Source organism: Homo sapiens, chromosome 6 (assembly GCF_000001405.40).
Source record: "Homo sapiens chromosome 6, GRCh38.p14 Primary Assembly".
Lineage (NCBI taxonomy): Eukaryota > Metazoa > Chordata > Mammalia > Primates > Hominidae > Homo > Homo sapiens.
The window spans coordinates 46,100,931-46,121,667 of NC_000006.12; the positions used below are offsets into that span (position 1 = coordinate 46,100,931).

At 40.5% G+C, this 20,737-nt stretch overlaps 1 protein-coding gene across 2 annotated transcripts in view, besides 1 other annotated feature; it reads right to left on the reverse strand.

Annotated features, from left to right (window-relative positions):
• CLIC5 (chloride intracellular channel 5) overlaps positions 1-20,737 on the reverse strand; it is a 248,993-nt gene that overhangs the window by 220,104 nt on the left and 8,152 nt on the right. The gene's annotated exons all lie outside the window — the stretch shown is intronic.
• Positions 1,435-1,484: an enhancer, noted in NCBI's record as "active region_24649". NCBI's record gives its function as "activates an Ori minimal core promoter by ATAC-STARR-seq in GM12878 lymphoblastoid cells {active_cell/tissue: GM12878}" and the evidence as "EXISTENCE:reporter gene assay evidence [ECO:0000049][PMID:35858748]".

Below are 20,737 nucleotides of genomic sequence, written 5' to 3' on the forward strand. Positions count from 1 at the left end.
GACCAAAAACAGGTTATGGTTGAAAATCAGGTGATGGTGGCAGGACAGTTATGGGACAGGACATACGACCTCATCCACCATGAAATAAAGAATTCCCGTGGAAACTTCAGGGGATTGAAATACATCTCATAGAAGAGAAAAATCTCAGTACTCATTTGACCTGGGGTCTGCATGTACCCTGTGCCAACCCACTAAGTCAACAAATCCAGACACGTGAATCTGCGAAGATAGAAAATACTCAGGTTGTAAGACTGCTCTGCTGCTTAGAATGTTTCTAAAGTAACCAAGAAGCCTATACAAACATGCCTCAGAAAGCTGTTCAAAGGGGTATAAAATAATCTGATCACTTCATCATGTCCTTGGGAAAGGAATGAGTGTTTCAAATTTGCTACCTATAACTAAGCAGGTAATTAAAACTTCATATATGTTGTTCAAAGACAAAATTACAATAAATTTAAAGACCTTAATTGGCTTTTATTTGTGATTCTAGAATTGGGCGACATCTCATTCTACAAAGTGGAATGTGTTCAGATGAACTGAGCAGAGGAGGTTGGTTTTGTAGACAGAAAAGGGCTGAGAAAAGCAGAATCAAAAGACAAAAAGCAAGTTGGTTATTTCCAAGCTCCTTTCCTTGTAAAGGTTAAAACAGAGGGGATTTCCTTATCATGCCAGCTAAAACTGGCTTGTGTGGAGATTTGGCTATTATCTCTCACTCTCCTGATTTCTCAGAAGGTCAGGTAGAGAACTTACTTTTGGCTTGGTGACATGGAACTTCAGCAGGAGTGACTGCATTTTGGTTTGGTCTGTTGAACCTAGTGCAGGGGCTCAATCTAAACCAACAACCTCATATGAAGTTTATTTAATAATGTAAAATGCAGGTTTAAATTTGATAATTTCCAAAGTCCTTTTTGACTTTTTCTTTAATCATTCATAAGCTAAATACCCCTAGAAATAACCATTCCATACATTACACCATTCCTGGGGGAAAAAATATTTTAGGCTCATTCCAGGTACATTCTAGAATATTGAGAAAAAAAAAAGAAGTGTGTGTGTTGGGGGTGGGGGTGGTATGAGGAGTGAGATAATAGAAGGGTAAATTTATGTCCTAGGTTATATTAATTTCACGGGCCAGGGCCCTTGAGCCCCTGAAGTTTCATGGAAAAATCACTTCATACAAGGCAGAATAATTGGAGAAAAATCATAAAAATTTATTTAACATATACACACAGGAACCTTCTGAATGAAGACCCAAAAATACACAGAAAATTGTCCGATTTTTGCTTAGGTTCAACAAAGTACGAGCAGCAATGGAGAAATATGATTGGACAATAAGGGTATGATCTAATGCTAATAGATGGAGTTGGGAAACCCCAGCAGGGCCTGCCTGTCTAGACTCATCTTGGCCTCTCTGAGCAGCGTTCCTTCCTTCTGGGTGTGGCACAGGGCCCTCTATGGAATGGAGGTCTTATGACCTACAGCCAAATAAGGGAGGTCAGAAAATTTCTTTATGTCCAACTTTTATACAGAAAGGCAAAGGGAAAGTTAGAGTAATATTCTAAGATTTTGTGGCTGGCTTTGGGGAAAAGGGATTCTGGTTTTTATGACTCACCTTGAGAGAAAGAAGGTCAGAGAAGAACTTTTATTTCTGATGCCTTCATTTGGGGATATTATTTTCTGAGCTTCAGTGTAATGTTTCCTGCTTCTGTATTTGCCAGCTGACTCCAGCCATCTTCAAATTACAGATATAGAAGAAAGGGTTAATAAAATACGCATCACAGAGCTCATAGGGTAGTTGAATTTCTGGATTGTTTTTTTAAAGCATGATTCAAGCATACAAAGGGTGAGTGCTGTTTTAAAATGTATTTATATGTAACGTCCCCTGATTCCAGAAAGGATTAGGTGACATAAACTAAAAGTAAAAATCAGAGAAGAAAGAAACACAAGACTGGGACAAACGTCAATGAAGAATGCCTCGTGAAGAATTGGTAATATTGCTCTCCATTTCTCCCTTGCGGATAAACACATATTCAAATATAGCATGGGATATCCAGATGAGTTTAAAAATTTCTTCTTTGATTAATTCTTTCTCAAAGTATTATCTCATTGGATCATATCACACGAGTTTCACTCAGCTTTTTTTTTTGAGGATAACAAACAGCAGTGTTTCCATTTTACAAGGAAAATAATACAGACTTGAAGAGATTAACTAATTTGCCTATAGTCCTGTAACTAGTTGCAGCAAAACTTATAATTAAGATCTTCAAGCAAACAAATGGGCTTCTTAAAATTATATATAACCTTTCCTGTAGGCTTTTGAAAAATAAGATAAATAGCGACTGAAGGAAATAAAAATATTTCACCCCAAAGTATACTTCTTTGACATACTTCGAGGTGGGGTGGCTGTTCAGAGACCCTGCAAACAGAAGTAACCCTGCAAAGCTGCCTTTCGTAGGGGACATTTACATCTGTAGACAATCTGCACTGATGCAGCTAGGTTTTGTCTGAGGCCTTTCCTTGTCTAAGAAAGATTAATGAGAGTCTTACTATCTATTCTTTCTGAGGACTGATACCTGTGAAGTTTTATTTATATAACAAGACCACCTTTGCTAGCCAGGCCTCCTCTCCTTGCCCTCCCATAATGCATTTTGCCACCAGAATCTGTTTTGCCATGATCCAAGCTGCCATTCTTTCTGCAACCTCAGGATGGCATACATTTCTTAACTCCATTGGAGGGTGGGGTAGTCACTCTGTGGTTTTCCTTCATGTGCACATTAACAAATTTGTATGCCTTTTCTCCAATTCATCTGAGTTGATTTTTTTCAGCAAAACTTCAGAGGGCAAAGGGGAGGTTTTCCTTTGGCTCCTACTGTTTTGTTGCTGTGAGCAGGATTCCAAAGCTCCACTCTTCTGGAAGCTGCAGCTAAGGGAACCCAGGACCTGACAAGCCAGCAGAAGGGTAAGAGATTCTTACCCATCAGGCTCCCAGCCTCTGTTTGTCTCTCTCTGGTGGAGCAAATGGTAAAAAGCACTGTTTCTTTTTCACCTGCAAGGTTTTGATTAATAGGAGAAAAGGACTTGTGTGACTAGTCTTGGTGTAGTCAAGTACAACTCTGTGTACTCATATTGAATCCCTTTTCTTCCAGAAATCATCTTTTCCTATGCCTTTGTTTTTCTGGGTGTAGCCAAGTACAACTCTGGTGTACTTTTTGGTATGCATATTCATATTTAATCCCTTTTCTTCCAGAAATAATATTTTCCTATGCCTTTGTTTTTCTGTGCTGTTCTGTCAGAAAGATGGGTACTGGATAAGGTTTCCTCTTGTCTTGTTTTATGTCCATGAGAGCTTGACTTGTGATGAAGTGAGAGCACATTCTTTTTGTCTCCACCATCTGGGGGGCATGATCTTCAAGTCATGACAGGTGACCATTCTAAAAATGGCTGGGAACTTGAGGCCAGCACAGTTTCTGTTCTGAACGTGTCAAGTTCTCAGGCGAGTTTGTCTTAACAAGTCCCATCACCATGGGACTTTTGTTGTCTCAACCTTGTTGCTTGTTAGTCTATGGCAACAAGAGTGTTTCGCTATCTGAGACTGTCCCTGGTAATGAATTTTGGGGGAGGGGGATTTGGGGGATTGCTTCTTCTATGCCTTCTCTAGGAAACACCACTTTGTTCCAAGCCTGGCAAATTATAATACACCCTGAGCTTTCCATAAAGAGGCAAAGACTCCTATGTTTAAAAAAAAAAAAAAAAAGGAAATTTGGAGATCACTTATTCTAAATAATTGACTTCTTTGTACCTGTAGGAAGACCAAATTGAAAGAAAGACACATAATAGTATCATGGTTAGCCTTAGAAATTTCCTTGACTAAATTAAAGAGCAAAAATCTGACCTGAAACAAAGTTAAAAGCCCTTGTACATTAAAACTGCCTGCTTTGGACCCTTTGCAGGATTCACAATGAAGTCTAGTCCAGCTTGCAGTGTGACAGCTAAAATTCCATGCCTTCATTCCTGCAGCCTTGGTTTGATTCCTGGTCAGGGAATCAATCTCTTTTGGTTTGAAGTTTGTGTGACTTTTGGCTTTTGGGAGTAGGCATTTATTGGTCCTTTTCTCTTTCATGGGCAGCTTTTGAGTGGGGCATATGGGGCTTTTGGGCATTTGTGTGAAAATGGTCAGCTGAGACGCTGAGACCTTAAGAGAATGCAGCCGGACAGATGTGGGTTGTAACACATTTGTGGCTAATAAAACTCCTTTCTTTGAGCTGTCTTTGAGGTGGTTCTGGATCTTATGAGGTGGGAGAATATTTTTTGTTTTTTGTTTTTTTTAAAGTTAAAAGCCAGAAATATCAGTTGTTTGTCATGGTTAAAATCTGTTAGAGATTTAAAAGGATTTTTTTGAAAAGATCTCCATGGTCAGAAGTCAGCTTCATTAAAAGCCAATATTCAAGCTATATATACACATATACTTTTCTAAAAAGGCCTTCCTGCTTTTTAAGGCCCGTTTGGGGAGATTTTTTTCAGTCAACTGAAACCTCTTTTAAATATGTGCTTGGTTCCTCTGTTCTTTTCCTTTCTCAAGAATTATTTTATTTAATTCTCCTCCCTATGCTGTCTTTCTCTTTACTGTCTTTGATACCACATGAAAAGATCTAGAAGGGAGTGCTAGTGACTCAGGCCCCTTAAGAAACTCAGAAAAAGGTGCCACTCACCCCCTTTTGAAGTCTTCTGTTTTCCTTGTGGAGTTTCAGGAGTCACAGGCAGGTTCTCTCAGATCTAAAGCTCTGCTCTATTTTACATTCTGTTACCTGATCTCTTTGGCCTTGGGGATGCCAAGAATTACTTTGTACTCTAAGAGAGAACTTGACCTTTATGTGTGCAATGGCTGGTGGGTCACTGGCAAGAACTACAGTTTGGGAAGTTCTGACAGTGATTGCAATAAATGGTTGTCACTACAGGCGGCTATGTATTTCTTTGTGTTTAGATGAGAAAGGTGCAGTTTGAACACTTGGAGTCTATGAGAGTGCTCACCACAGAGGGATGAGACTCTCATGGGAGATGAGCTTGTCAAAGTGGGTCAAATGATTCTGGGTTGCCCACCAGCTTAGGGGCAATGTCTTTGTAACAAGAACTGTCTGCCTAGCCCTCATCTCAAGATGTGTGTCTATTTTTTGGCACCTGGAATTCAATGGAAAAGTGGAACAGAGTTTCGCTCTGTCACCATGCTGGAGTGCAGTGGTGTGATCTCGGCTCACTGCAACCTCTGCCTCCCAGGTTCAAGTGATTGAGGTTCCTACCTCAGCCTCCTGAATAGCTGGGCCTACAGGAGCGTGCCACCATGCCCAGCTAATTTTTGTATTTTTAGTAGAGACAGGGTTTCACCATGTTGGCCAGGATGGTCTCAATCTCTTGACCTTGTGATCCACCTGCCTCAGCCTCCCAAAGTGCTGGGATTATAGGCATGAGTCACTATGCCAGGCCAGAATCCTTGATTTTTAAAGATCTAGATATACTTTCCAGCTGTGCCTGCTTTTCACATATTTAAATATTAGGTCCCCCATAAAACCTGCAATGCTTTTTTGGGGCCCAATTTGTTAATGAGCTTTGCCCTGAGGTCAGTGGTCCAGTTGAAGAATGAAGACAAAATTTAAAAGCCACCTATTCAAATAGATTGGTCTCCAAAATATGACTTTCTGGTGTTTAGCTGGTTATTTTGAAAAGGTTTCTAAATTTCCTCTAGGCCCATCTGCATGTTTCCTTATGAAATCCTATGATTTTATGTTACCTTGGCATTTATTTTTAATCTTCCTCTAACACACCCAAACTCCTCGAAAAAGCTAAATCCTCTTTCTCTGTGCTTTGAGATGTAAATTTGCTACCACGTTTAATCTAAAACTCAGTGAGGGCTTTACCTATGTGAGAAAGATAAACTTTATCCTTTTGCATTTACAAAGGTACAGTTTGAATCCAAATGCCTTTTAAACTAGTGAGTTTTAATGGTCTCATGACTAAAATTTTAAAGTCAAAGCTATAAAGTCTTTTTTTATGTTTGTATTTTTATATATACGTGGGTACACATCTATGTTTATATATTGTCCCAACTTAATTTATAAATAAATGAGTGCTCATAAATAACTAGCCCAAAAGTTTATCAAATTTACATGATTTTAGTAATCTTTCATAAATAAAGTGATTTTAAAAGTTATTGGTAAAATATAAATGTCTTCAGAATTTAATTTAGACTTTTTTTTTTGCCTGGTTCTATTGGTCAGACAGGTGTATACTGTCTCTAATAGATGTTTTAAAGTGATAAAACTGTTGCTTCTCTGACATTTTTAATCTGTGAGTTTATGTTTTTGGATTTCAGCCTTTAGATTTTGAGGTCTAGGCAAGTGACCACGGTGAGGCCTGGGAACAGGGCCTAATCCCTTTCTCCCTGGCTCAGTTGTGCCTTCCGGCCTTGCTAGGAGGAGTTGGATCCTCCAGGCATAGTCTTCACATCCCTGTCCCTTGTCCCAAGATCTGCATCTGGTACATAATTAAAATTGCTTATTTCCTAGGGTTTTCACAAAATAAGGTTACCAAAATAAAAGATAACATTGTGATTAATATGTGTAATTAAAATTGCTAGATATATTAATAAAATAAACAGTTCTGTATACAAAGTACATAAGAAAAGTAGGAAGTATTTTCGGTTTAAAAAAGGTTATATAAGGAGGCAGGAAAATGTGGGTTTCGTTAAAGGAAAAGTAATTTTGGTTAGTTTAGAGGATTTTAAAAGTTGTCTTAAATTGAAGGAATAAAAATAATAATAGATAAAACTTAATGGGGCTGGGTGCATTGGCTCACGCCTGTAATCCCAGCACTTTGGGAGGTCAAGGTGGGTGGATCACCTGAGGTTGGGAGTTCAAGACCTGTCTGGCCAATATGGCAAAACCCTGTCTCTACTAAAAATACAAAATTAGCCAAGCGTGGTGGCGCATGCCTGTAATCCTAGCCACTCGGAGGCTGAGGCAGGAGAATTGCTTGAACCCAGGAGGCTGGGGTTGCAGTGAACAGAGATCACGCCATTGCACTCCAGCCAGGGCAACAAGAGCAAAACTCCATCAAAAAAAAAAAAAAAAAAAAAAAACCTCAATGGATACAGAAAGTTGGAAAGAAAGAAAATGGGGAAAATTATAAGACGTTAAAAAGGGTTTATGGAAATATTATTGTGTGTGGTCAAAGCTGATTGAGATTGCATGAATCTGCTTATAAGGTTTTATTAAAATTATTGTTAGCATTAATAATACACTGATGCAAAAGTGAAATTTGACTTTCTTTTTAGAACATGATTTTTGTGTAATATTCATAAGAGATAGTAAAACATTTTTTGTTTACATTTTATATAAACTGCAAAAAAAAAGGGAAGAGAGAGATTTTGTTTGCCTCTTTATCGGGTCTTTGTGTGTGTGTGTGTGTGTGTGTGTGTGTGTGTGAGAGAGAGAGAGAGATGGAGTTTCATTCTTGTTGCCCAGGCTGGAGTGCAATGGTGCGGTCTTGGCTCACTGCAACCTCCACCTCCTGGGTTCAAGCGATTCTCCTGCCTCAGCCTCCCAAGTAGCTGAGATTACAGGTGCCCACCACCACACTTGGCTGATTTTTTTGTATTTTTAGTAGAGACAGGGTTTCACCATGTTGGCCAGGCTTGTCTTGTACTCCTGACTAAGGTGATCTACCAGCCTTGACCTCCCAAAGTGCTGAGATTACAGGTGTGAGCCACCACACCTTGCCTATCAGGTCTTTTAATTGTTTGAAAAGCTGAGTCTCCTGTCACTCTATATGATTTTTGCCTTTTGAAAGCTTTGAATTATCACTTTGGCTAATTGAATGAATGTTTTTTTTCAGTGACTTGTGTTCCCATTTTGAGCACTTTCCAAAATCATATTTCAAATTCCAAATTTGATCTTTGGCCTAAAATTAACTTTTTGTATATTAGGGATCCTGAAAGTCCAAGAGAGACTTATTAGGCTAATTTAGTATGTTAAAGTGATATGGCAAGCATTGTCAAATAAGAAATGGTGTTTAACTTGTATAAATACGTTATTAATGTGCCCCAAGGTTATATAGATTCCCTAAATTCTTACATGTCTTAGGATATGTCATCAGTAATAATTATGATTATTACATTAAATTGTTGTATGCCACTGGAATAACCAACTTTTCTTATTAATTGTGTCTTTATAGATATTTCTAAGTATTTTGTCACCCATAGACAATTATTCTTTTACTTTTTCTCGAAGAATGGTTTATAATTGGCTATAGTCCCAAATTTCCTTCTTCTTCAAGGAAATTTTTGGAAAGCATCCTGACCAGTATTTAACACTCTTGAATACAGGTTTCTGGTAACTTTGGAGATAACAGTTTAATCTATTCCATAACATTGGACTAGATTAAAAACTTCCAGGACTCTAATTAAAAAGCTGATGTGTTCTGCCTGGTGCGGTGGCTTACGCCTATAATCCCAGCACTTTGGGAGGCCGAGGCGGGTGCATCATGAGGTCAAGAGATCGAGACCATCCTGGCCAAAATGGTGAAACAGTCTCCACTAAAAAAAAAAAAAAAAAAAAAAAAAAAAAAAAAAAGCTGATGCGTTCATGAGGATTGCTAACTCAACAGCAATCAAAGCAAGTATGAATTACATGGGAATGAATAGAGGACTGAAATAATTTTTTATAACTTTGTTTGAAACATTGCTGATTCTTTTTATGTTTAGTTTTCCAGAGTCAAGAAAACTTTTTCTTTTGAGCTATTTGTAGCTTACAACAATAGGGTAAAGTATACTTTTGTGAGCAAAGTTGAAATGTTTATCTTACTCTTTACCTGATTTCTCCAGAATTTGGAAACTGTTGGGAAAAGCTGAGCGTTGGGAGAAGCTGAGGCAGGGCTTGCATGTCTGACATAATGTAAAAGAGTCTTGGAACATGTCTGGGGTCCAGGGTCTAAAACCCCTTGTGGCCTTTGGAATACCAAATTCTGTGCTAAAGGGTGGAAGGCTACCCTCACCCACCATAATCTAAGCCCAGGGCATAAAATCCCTCGTGGCTTGGATAGAATCCAGGGCTTGTGGCTCTGGAACGGGTCTAGACTTGCTGGCTCCTTGCTCCTTGCTCTCCCAGGATCGACTGTATCTTGAGTTAAAAGAACCTGCTCTCCGTTACCTCAAGTAGCAGAACATGTTCCATATAAATGCTAAACCATCACAGCTGTAGATCATACGCCTGACCTTTTGTCCTCCACATTCTCACCACCTGTTTCTTTGTTGGATTACCAATAAATAGCGTGGGCTCCCAGAGCTCAGGGCCTTCGTAGCCTCCATGATTGTGATGGCTCCCCTGGTGTCCCACCTTTCTCTCTCAAACTGTCTTTTTCTCAATCCTTTTACTCCACCGGACTTTGTCACCCCCACGACCTGGTGTTGGGTCTGATCACCCCAACAGGAAACTATTTGTGAGTATTTTTAATTTATGGCAACATAGTTACTTGCATAATTTCAATAAGAATCTGTTTTCTTTTGTAACAGAATGTGATTAGAGACACTGGTTATTTTTCCAAGTTTTTTACTGGAAGGGCATATTTTCAGGTATGACCAGACTGCTTTGAGATTGGAAAGACTGATATGGTACCTTGTCTACATGGTTCTCTTATAAGGTTTCTTTGACCTTATAAGAGGTAGGTAGGTAGGTAAAGAATGTCACTTTCTGATAGGACCAGGAACTTCAAGATCTTGTGGGACCTCAAGAATAAAAGAATTTACCCAATTCATGTGGATATTACAAGCACAGTCTGTTGGCAAACTCTTGGCTTGATTTTCTAGCCTCAAGCCTTTTAAAAGTCTAGTCTTAGATTCTTCATGATTTTCTCCAGCAAAGCCAACTTAAAAACCTACATAGTCAATCACTGTGTTTGCTGCATTTTATGCAAATAATGAAGCCAAATACAATAAAACTAAAACTTATTTTGCAAATAAATTGGTCCTACTATTCCTTACGCTTGGTAGAAATGGGGAACTGGGGAGAGAAAAAATTATGTTTGAGAAGAAAATTACAGTACACTTGTTATTCGATTGTAGCCTTGTTGGTAGTTTTTTAGTTTTTACAATTTCCTACAATTTGGGCTGAACCCTTAATTCTTTCCTTGTTACAAGTCTCCAAACTAATGTTTTCACATTTTTCTTCTATTTCTCTCACTTGGAATCACTAGAAATCAAACCTGTCCTTTTTTTTTTTTTTGGAAACAGACAACTTGAATTAAACTCTAGAAGAAATCACCACAGCAACTTATAAACAGCCTTCATGCCTGATGATGTATGGACTACTCAGAAAGCTCACTTAAACACCTAATTCAAACTACAAATGCAGAAAAAATCTGTCAGATAGCCCCTGCCATCTGAAGATGCTTTAGAGCCTCTAGAAAAACCAGTGTGTAGACTGCTTCAGACATTCACTTTTGTTTTTCTTCTATTTCCTTAGAAATACCTCTTACTAAAGATGTTTGCCATATATAGAGGCCTAGCCCATTTGCAATGCCACCTCCTGAAATGGGACACAGCTATTCAATTGACCTGATCTATTCTCAGGTCTAACAGGTTGATTCAAGAAGATATGGGATATGTTTAAATTTAGTCTTTTTTGCTTATCACCATTTGTTTTCTTTTCCCTTCCTTTTCCTCTCTATCTAACAACATTTAACCCAAATCTCTCCAAAGTTATCAACTATATACAAAACATTTTAAAGTTTCAAAGTAAGGTGATATGGTTTGGCTGTGTCCCCACCCAAATCTCATCTTGAATTGTAGCTCCCACAATTCCCATGTGTCATGAGAGGGACCTGGTGGGAAGTGATCGAATCATGGGGGTGGGTCTTTCCTGTGCTGTTCTCATGATAGTGAATAAGTCTCATGAGATCTGATGGTTTTATAAAGAGAAGTTTCCCTGCACAAGTTCTCTCTTGTCTGCCACTATGTAAGATATAAACTTTCACCTTCCACCATGATTGTGAGGCCTCCCCAGCCACGTGGAATTGTGGGTCAATAAAACCTCTTTTTCTTTATAAATTAACCAGTCTCAAGTATGTCTTTATCAGCAGTGTGAAAACAGACGAATACATAAGGACTGAAGGAAATCTCCCTAAAATATTTCATCCTAAAATATACTTATTTGACATATTTTGAGATGGTTGGTCAGAAAGCCAACAAACAGAAGTAACCCTGCAAAGCTGTCTTTGGTGGGCGGCATTTGTATCAGTAGATAATCTGCATAGATGCAGCCAGCTTTTCTCTGAGGCCTTCCCCTGTCTGGACCTAGAAAAAATTACCTGAGAGTCTGATTATCTTAAAAGGTCTAAAAGAAACATTTACCATCTATTTTCTCTAAGAGCTTTCACCTGTGAGTTTTATTATATAACAAGACCACCTTTGCTAGCTACTCCCATCTTTTCCCCCTTTCATAACCTGTTTTACCACCATAATCTGTTTTGCCGCAATCCAAGTCCCCATTCTTTCTGCATCTTCAAGATGGTGTATCGGCTTCTGAATGCCTTTGGGGGGGTAATCACTCTGTGGTTTGCCCCCCACGTGCATGTTAATAAATTTGTATGCCTTTTCTCCAATTAATCTGACTTTTGTGGGTTATTAGCAATTGTATACACTTATTAGTAAACACAGTTTCTCTTGCAGAGATTTAATGAATATGGGGATGAGAAATTCAAAGCTTTGTGTGGAGGGTGGTTTAGGCAGTGGGGATGCAGCAAAGGTTCTGAGGCATAAATGAGCTTATCAAGGTCTCTGAGAAGAAGAAATAAGAACAAGCAGGCTGGGCGCTGTGGCTGATGCCTGTAATTCTAGAACTTTGGGAGACCAAGATGGGCAGATCACCTGAGGTCAGGAGTTTGAGAACAGCCTGGCCAACATGGTGAAACCCCATCTCTACTTAAAATATAAAAATTAGCCGAGTGTGGTGGCAGGCACCTGTAGTCCCAGCTACTCAGGAGGCTAGGCAGGAGAATCACTTGAACCCAGGAGGTGGAGGTTGCAATAAGCTGAGATGATGCCACTGCATTCCAGCCTGGGTGACAGAGCGAGAATCTGTCTCAAAAAACAAAAAGAATAAGTAGTAGGCCAGGCCAGGTTGTTAAGGATGATGTATATGAGATTGTGAGTTGGAGGGAACTGAGGTCTGGGAAATACGCAACTACTCAGGGGTCAGATCCTGTGAGGCACCATCAGCCACAGTAAGGACACTGGATTAATTCTGAATATGAGAGAACATTTGTAGTGTCTGAGCAAATGAGCCACAGGAAATGATTTTCTAACTCAAAAGCTCCAACTGGCTGCTGAGTGAAGACTAGAGAGTAAGAAGTGGGAAGGAAAGAAACAGCTAGAAGGTGAGTAGAGTAGGGTTCGGGAAGAAGGGGGGTGGCCTGAGGCATTGCTGGAGGAGGTAAGAAACAAGTTGTGGGGCAGCTTTGCAAACAGGTGATGTCAGGAATCAGGCTGTGGCTATTAGGAAGTCAGGGGTTTCTTACAGCCCAGCAAGTAGGCAGGTTCTGTCAGTAGGCAGGTAAGTGATGTGAGCAGTTATATGACACCGGCCAGCAGGTGTGGCACACTTACCAGCAGGTGGGTCAAATCTGCAAACAGGTGAGTCATGCTGGCAAGGGGACCAGACACTTCTTTAATTAGATGGTATGGGCTGAATTGTGTGTCCCTGCCCCCTTAAAGTTCATATATTGAAGTCCTCACCCCTAGTACCTCAGAATATGACTGCATTTGGAGACAGGGCCTTTAAAGAGGTAATCAATTTAAAATGAGGCCACAGAGGTTGGCCCCAATCTGACCAACGTCCTTATCAAAAGAGATGAGGACATAAACATGCACAGTGGGGTAAACCACATGAAGATGGAGAGAAGATGGCCATCCATAAGCCAAGGAGAGTGTCCCTCAGAGGAAACCCACTCTGCTGATACCTTGATATTGTTCTGTTACCAGAAAGTGGGGGGAATCTTCAGTCCTTAGTCATTTTGGGAGAAAGATTTCAGCGAAGAAACAGTTCAAAGATAGCAGAGAGCTTTATTGAAGGGAAATGGAGAGGAGAGAGTTTATTTAAAGAGACATTACACTCTGAAAGATGAGGCAGAATGGGCTCCTGAAAGAGTGAGTAGGCCAGCAGCCCCAAGAGCTCTACATTGCAGTTTTTATTATGTGGAACCCTTTCTTGAAGTTCCCAGCTCTGCTTTAAGTCTCTACCTTTTTTCTTTGTCTAGTTTGTCCGCTATTGCCTTAAGTCCCTGCCTTTCCCCCACCTAGTTCCCATACCAGGGTTGTGGGATTCTCCTTTACTGTCAGTTGATGTGCATGCGCAGCCCAGTGTTGGCTGCAAATTTTACCTATTGGCAGCACTGCTCATTACCGTCACCCCCAGAAGATGGGATAGCAGTCAAACCTATACTTATTGCACCTGAGTATCTCTTAGGAATTTCTCTTTTGCCCTCTTTCCTCCTTATCAGCATGTATCTAGCTACATTCTGTCAGGTTAACTGCAGAGCATACTCTTACTGGGCATCTTAATGGGAGTTCCTTCCTGTATAGGTACTTGCCCTCCTCTCTGATCCTGTGTAGCATGTGTGTTTCAGGTGGTCTCTGGCATGTGAGATTTTCCAGACCTCCCTTTTTTCAAGGGGTCCTCCTGCCTGCTTGCATCAATCTGCCTATTCTAACAGTTCTTCAACCCTTCAGAATTATGAGAAAATAAATTGCTATTGTTTAAAGCCTCCCAGTCTCTGGTACTTTGTTATGGCAGTCCTAGCAAACTAACACAGATGGACAACTTGTATAAATCTCTGAGAGGTCCTGCATGTGTCTGAGGGCTACAGAAGCAGCTGAAAGAGGTTGCTGAGCATATGGGGGACTTGGGAGAGTGATATGGAGGTCATGGGTGGCTAGGAGATTCTATGAACCAGTGGGTGACCAGGGCAAAAATCCAGGGATGATAACAAGACAGCTCATTGACACAAGGATATCTAAGCACTGACGATGAGTTATGTGGAGAGAAAAGGAGAAGACAGGGGATTTGAGTAGTAGCTTAGCAACTCCATTGAATCCCTGGAGACCGGACCATAGTAGGTGACCCTGGAGAGATTCTGGACCTCTGGTTGAGAGCTTAGGAGGATAGTTGGAAACCATGATGCTAAGAGTAATTTGAGGAATTGGGCCTAGAGGTTATTTATGGGCAGTCAGCAATGACACCACTATCATCCAAACAGGAACAGTGAGAAGCCAGTACTCTACTAGCTCCTAGAAAAGAGGTCAGAAATCCACCTCCATTTTCACTGAGGCCACACCTTGTGGCTGAGCATAGATTCTGACTTTCCCATCTCACCAAATATATTAATTTACCAAATTTCTTGCTCCCTAATCTGTTTCTGGGTCTGCAGAATCTGGTAGGACACATCCTGGGTGTGAGCAGGCAACATAGATAAGCTGCTCCAAACTGTGCTTCCTCTAGTCCTATAATGTCATAATAATAATTTTTTCCCTTTTTTCAGCTTTTGGGTTTTACTATAAAGAGTTACACTAATTAAAACTTTCCATTTTGTTTGTATGTTTTTACCTTCAGAATGCACTAACACAATTACAGTACTGTTAACCAATTTTGTTCACCTTCTACAAAAGGTGACTTCAACAGAAGCAGCCTCTGTTTATCTCTGAAAAATTATGTCACTGAAACAAGTAGACCCTTTATTTTTAATGAATGTCAAAAGAGATTATAATGCTTGGGTTTCTGTAATCTGCAGGAAAGATATTTACATGTGTCTAACAAAACCAGTTACACCCAGGTGCCTTAGGTTAAGTAAATCAGATGGCATTTATGCCAGGTCAGAAATAGGGCAGGGCCCAGCCAGTTTTTCACATGACATAAAAGAGGGAACCGGTATCTTCAGGGATGGAAGCTGGCCTTAAAAAGTTCAAGGAAGTTCAAGTCAAATGTAAAATTACCTGGAAATTTTGGATATAATTATAAAAACTCATGCTATTTTTTATCCTCCTCTATAAATTACCTATATTGTTAGAACATGTGAGAGTGGGGCCCTGACCCCATTGGTATAGCCATTACCAGAATGATAATGATAGAATCATTATCAAGTCTTTAGGGTATAACCATTAGCAAGACCACAGAGTCTGGAAGCAGCTTTGGAGAGAATTTGACGCCTTTAGGGTATAACCATTAGCAAGACCACAGAGTCTGGAAGCAGCTTTGGAGAGAATTTGACACTAGATGTATTTGTTTTTTTCTGATTTTTAGTTTGTGCCTTGATCGGTTAATTCCAGTTTCAAGCCTCAAGGCTGGCCTGTGCATTGGTGAATATGGGCTGTCAAAGTTGGGGGGATGGTAAAAGTTATGTAGCACAATTCCTAGAACCTACCAGACCTGAATTTGAGTATTCACTCTGCTACTCACCAGCAGAACAATCATGGGCCAATGTCTCGAGCTATTTGAGCTTTCATTTCCTCATCTGCAAAAAGGGCCCTGTTAAGTACATATCTCTTGGGGTTACTGTCGAATGAATGAGAAGCTTTAAAGCAAGTACTCAGCACAGTATCTGACACATGTTAAGTGTTGGGGATTACTATCATTATGACCAGAAAAATTTACCTCAATTTGAACAATAGGGTAAGGCCAAGCTCTGGGGGAATGTATGTAATATCCAATTTAGCAGAACTTAAATTTTCTAGCACTTGCGGGATATTGTCCATATCCTCTTTGTTCATTCAGTAGGTGCCTGGTTGCTTAAAGGGTGGACAAAATTGTTGACCATCTAGGTCAGATGTGTGGTGAAGTCAGCAGCTGATGGCATCAGAAGAGAAGGGCTCCCTTCATCCACTGCTCCTGCATCCACTGCAGGGCTCAGTCCTGACACTTCCCATAGAACCCTAGGTGAACACCTTAACCTCTGTGATTTAGAAATAACATGGATATAAAGGGCATGCTTATTTACAGACCAGTTGTGAAAACCAAGTAAGACTCTAATGTAAAAGCATTTTGTAGGCTGCAAAGCACTCAACACATTCAAAGTTCAATTATTATTCCAGACTTCCTTTCCTTACTTAAGCATTTAGTGACCTCAAATTGTCCCTGGCCAATCTGAGGCTCTTCTCTACCTAGTGCACAGAGCCCCATGTTTCATGCAATAGCTTCTCCCCTTCATGCAAGTGTCCCCATGGTGTCCTGTCAGCTGTACTCCACCATGTAACACACCAGGATACCAGGTTACCCCTTACTACCTAATCTGATACTTCCCAAACATGCCTGATCATGAGACACCCAGTGCCTGTGAGAAATAGAAGTCCTCAGACACCACATAAGATTTACTAGATCCAAATCTTCAAAGGAGGGGCTTGGGACATTTTTAACAAAAGCCACAAGTGATTCTGTAATTCAGCAGGTTTGGGAAACAGTAAACTAATACATGCAAATGTGTTGGTTAACTAATATATTACTCTATCTGGACTCAACCCAATTAAAATGTATAGCTCTTTTAATATCTTAAGTGGGCTATACTAGTTCTGGAGATTTCAAGTAGGATCCAAGGGAGGGTTTGTGAATAAAAAGAATTCTTTTAATCACACTATTAGGAAGAATGTTTATTAAATTCTACATACATTTTTGTAGTACCATAGTTTGAGATATAAATATCCTTGGGGGAAAGCTATAGGATGACCAATGATTAGAAACAACAAATAACAATTTTAAAAAATTGAAAGAAATTAAGTCCAGAGGTGAGCCACTTTAGCAAGAATCTTTAAATTTGAGAAGAAATATTATCTTATTTCACTGATTCTAAAATAGATTTTTTTTCACATTTTAATGTCTCTGAAATCAGAATGTTTCTTAAAGCTGATTAGCAACAATTTTTTTAGTGGTATATAAAATAATAGGATTTCTTAACAAAGGGTGTATTCTGGATTCAGTGAAATACTGAAACACAAGACAGTGACAATTTTCTCCAACTCTATTGACACATCACAAGTGGTCTATGCCCTTGCCTGGGTGCCTCCTGTGCATCTCTATTTCCACAAGCCTGCCTACATTTGAAGCTCCAGTGCCAACTGTGCATCTCACTGGCCACAGCCTGCCCAGCTCACCCAGGCTGCAGGGATGTCTCTCTTCTTCTTACAGCTCTTGCTGTCTGTAGCACCTATTTTCTGTTTCTCTTGCTTAGCATTTATGCTGCTGCTTTGTTGACCAAATATTATTTGTTATCTTATCATGTTATAAACATCTTTGAACTCTGAAACTAAATGGTAAACACCTTGAGCCCAGAAAAGTTGCCTCTATCTTTTGCTTTCTCCCAGGGTCTAACACAGGGCTCCTACATGGTAATATTCAATAAATATTGATGATGATGCCATTTAGGTAGGGTGATGACATATTTCATCATCCAGACCAAGATATTTTGAAGGTGAAAGGGGGCACAATGAATATTTATGGGGCACAACAGGCATAAACTAGGACTATCCTGGGCACTTTACATATAGACGCCTTTCTCCCTACTACACTGTAAACTTTTTGAGGGTAGAGATAATGTTTTAGTCATCCCTTTTTCTACAATACAAAAAGTATAGTGCTTTGCACCTCATTAAGTACTAAATGAAGTATGATTCCTTCCCTGTCTACAAGATAATATGATTTTAACCAAACTTTCCAGCCTCAATCCCAATGATCTCTCAAATATTTTCCAGGAAAATTAAATTATTTTCAAGAACTAACATACTTCTCTTATCTTGGTGCCTTTGTCAATGCTATTGCCTCAGCCAGACATTAATAGTCACCCAAAGATGTCTACATCCTAATCCCCAGATTGTACAAGTTACCTTACGTGATAAAGGGGACCTACCAGGCATAATTAAGTAAGGGTCTTGAGAAGGGGAGATATTATCTTGCATCATCTAGGTAGGCCCAATGTGTAATCACGATGTGGAATCCTTATCAGGGAAAAAGGAGGCAGGTGAGTCAGAATCAGAGAGGGAGAGATTAGAAGATGCTTTGCAGATAAGAGTATGAGGCCACAAGTCGAGGAATATAGGTGGCCTCTAGAGGCTGGAAAAGGCAACAAAATGAATTCTCTTCAAGAAATCCAGAAGGAATGTAGCCCTGCTGACCCATTCTCAGCTTCTGACCTCCAGAACTGGAAGTAAAAAATTTGTGTTGGTCAAGCCACTAAGTTTGTGGTAGAGCAGTCATAGGAAACTACTTACACCATGCTAATCTGCAAGAATTAATCAAACACCAGCTCATCCTGAATCCATTTCCTGACTTCTTGCAGCTGAATTTAACCTCTGCCTGATTTAACCTCTTCTCCTTTTGGGACTCTTTTATAGCAATTACCTCACTTGATAGTATAGTGCAAACACATGGTCCCTCTTCTTAGCCCTTATTTAGATACAAGTAGTAGAAAACCAATTAAAAGTAGTTTAAGCAGACTGGTTGGCGGTTCCAACATGACCAAATAGGAACAGCTCCAGTCTACAGCTCCCAGCGTGAGCGACGCAGAAGATGGGTGATTTCTGCATTTCCAACTGAGGTACCGGGTTCATCTCACTGAGGCTTGTCGGACAGTGGGTGCAGGACAGTGGGTGCAGTGCACCGAGCATGAGCTGAAGCAGGGCGAGGCATCGCCTCATCAGGGAAGTACAAGGGGTCAGGGAATTCCCTTTCATAGCCAAGCAAGGCTGTGACAGACTGCACCTTGAAAATCGGGTCACTCCCACCCTAATACTGCACTTTTCTAATGGTCTTAGCAAACGGCACAAGAGGAGATTATATCCTGCACCTGGCTTGGAGGGTCCCACGCCCACAGAGCCTCACTCATTGCTAGCACAGCAGTCTGAGATGGAACTGCAAGGCAGCAGCGAGGGTGGGGGAGGGGTGCCCACCACTGTGAGGCTTGAGTAGGTAAACAAAGCAGCCAGGAAGCTGGAACTGGGTGGAGCCCACCGCAGCTCAAGGAGGCCTGCCTGCCTCTGTAGACTCCACCTCTGGGGGCAGGGCATAGCCAAACAAAAGGCAGCAAAAACCTCTGCAGACTTAAATGTCCCTGTCTAACAGCTTTGAAGAGAGTAGTGGTTCTCCCAGCATGCAGTTTGAGATCTGAGAATGGACAGACTGCCTCCTCAAGTGGTTCCCTGATGCCTGAGTAGGCTATCAGGGAGGCACCCACCAGTAGGGGCAGACTGACACCTCACACGGCCGGGTACTCCTCTGAGATGAAACCGCCAGAGGAACGATCAGACAGCAACATTTGCTGTTCAGCAATATTCGCTGTTCTGCAGCCTCCACTGCTGATACCCAGGCAAACAGGGTCTGGAGTGGACCTCCAGCAAACTCCAACATACCTGCAGCTGAGGGTCCTGACTGTTAAAGGGAAAACTAACAAACAGAAAGGACATCCACACCAAAACCCCATCTGTACGTCACCATCATCAAAGACCAAAGGTAGATAAAGCCACAAAGATGGGGAAAAAACAGAACAGAAAAACTGAAAATTCTAAAAATCAGAGTGCCTCTCCTCCTCCAAAGGAATGCAGCTCCTCAACAGCAATGGACCAAAGCTGGACGGAGAATAACTTTGACAAGTTGAGAGAAGAAGGCTTCAGATGATCAAACTTCTCCGAGCTAAAGGAGGAAGTACGAACCCATCATAAAGAAGTTAAAAACACTGAAAAAAGATTAGATGAATGGCTAACTAGAATAACCAATGCAGAGAAGTCCTTAAAGGACCTGATGGAGCTGAAAACCATGGCACGAGAACTACATGATGAATGCACAAGCTTCAGTAGCCGATTCGATCAACTGGAAGAAAGGATATCAGTGATTGAAGATCAAATTAATGAAATGAAGCAAGAAGAGAAGTTTAGAGAAAAAAGAATAAAAAGAAATGAACAAAGCCTCCAAGAAATATGGGACTATGTGAAAAGACCAAATCTATGTCTAATTGGTTACCTGAAAGTGACGGGGAGAATGGAACCAAGTTGGAAAACACTCTGCAGGATATTATCCAGGAGAACTTCCCCAATCTAGCAAGGCAGGCCAACATTCAAATTCAGGAAATACAGAGAATGCCACCAAGATACTCCTCAAGAAGAACAACTCCGAGACACATCATTGTCAAATTCACCAAAGTTGAAATGAAGGAAAAAATGTTAAGGGCAGCCAGAGAGAAAGGTCGGGTTACTCACAAAGGGAAGCCCATCAGACTAACAGCTAATCTCTCGGCAGAAACTCTACAAGCCAGAAGAGAGTGGGGGCCAATATTCAACATTCTTAAAGAAAAGAATTTTCAACCCAGAATTTCATATCCAGCCAAACTAAGCTTCACAAGTGAAGGAGAAATAAAATCCTTTACAGACAAGCAAATGCTGAGAGATTTTGTCACCACCAGGCCTGCCCTAAAAGAGCTCCTGAAGGAAGCACTAAACATGGAAAGGAACAACCGGTACCAGCCACTACAAAAACATGCCAAATTTTAAAGCCCATTGATGCTAGGAAGAAACTGCATCAACTAACGAGCAAAATAACCAGCTAACATCATAATGACAGGATCAAATTCACACATAACAATATGAACCTTAAATGTAAATGGAATAAATGCTCCAATTAAAAGACACAGACTGGCAAATTGGATAAAGAGTCAAGAACCATCAGTG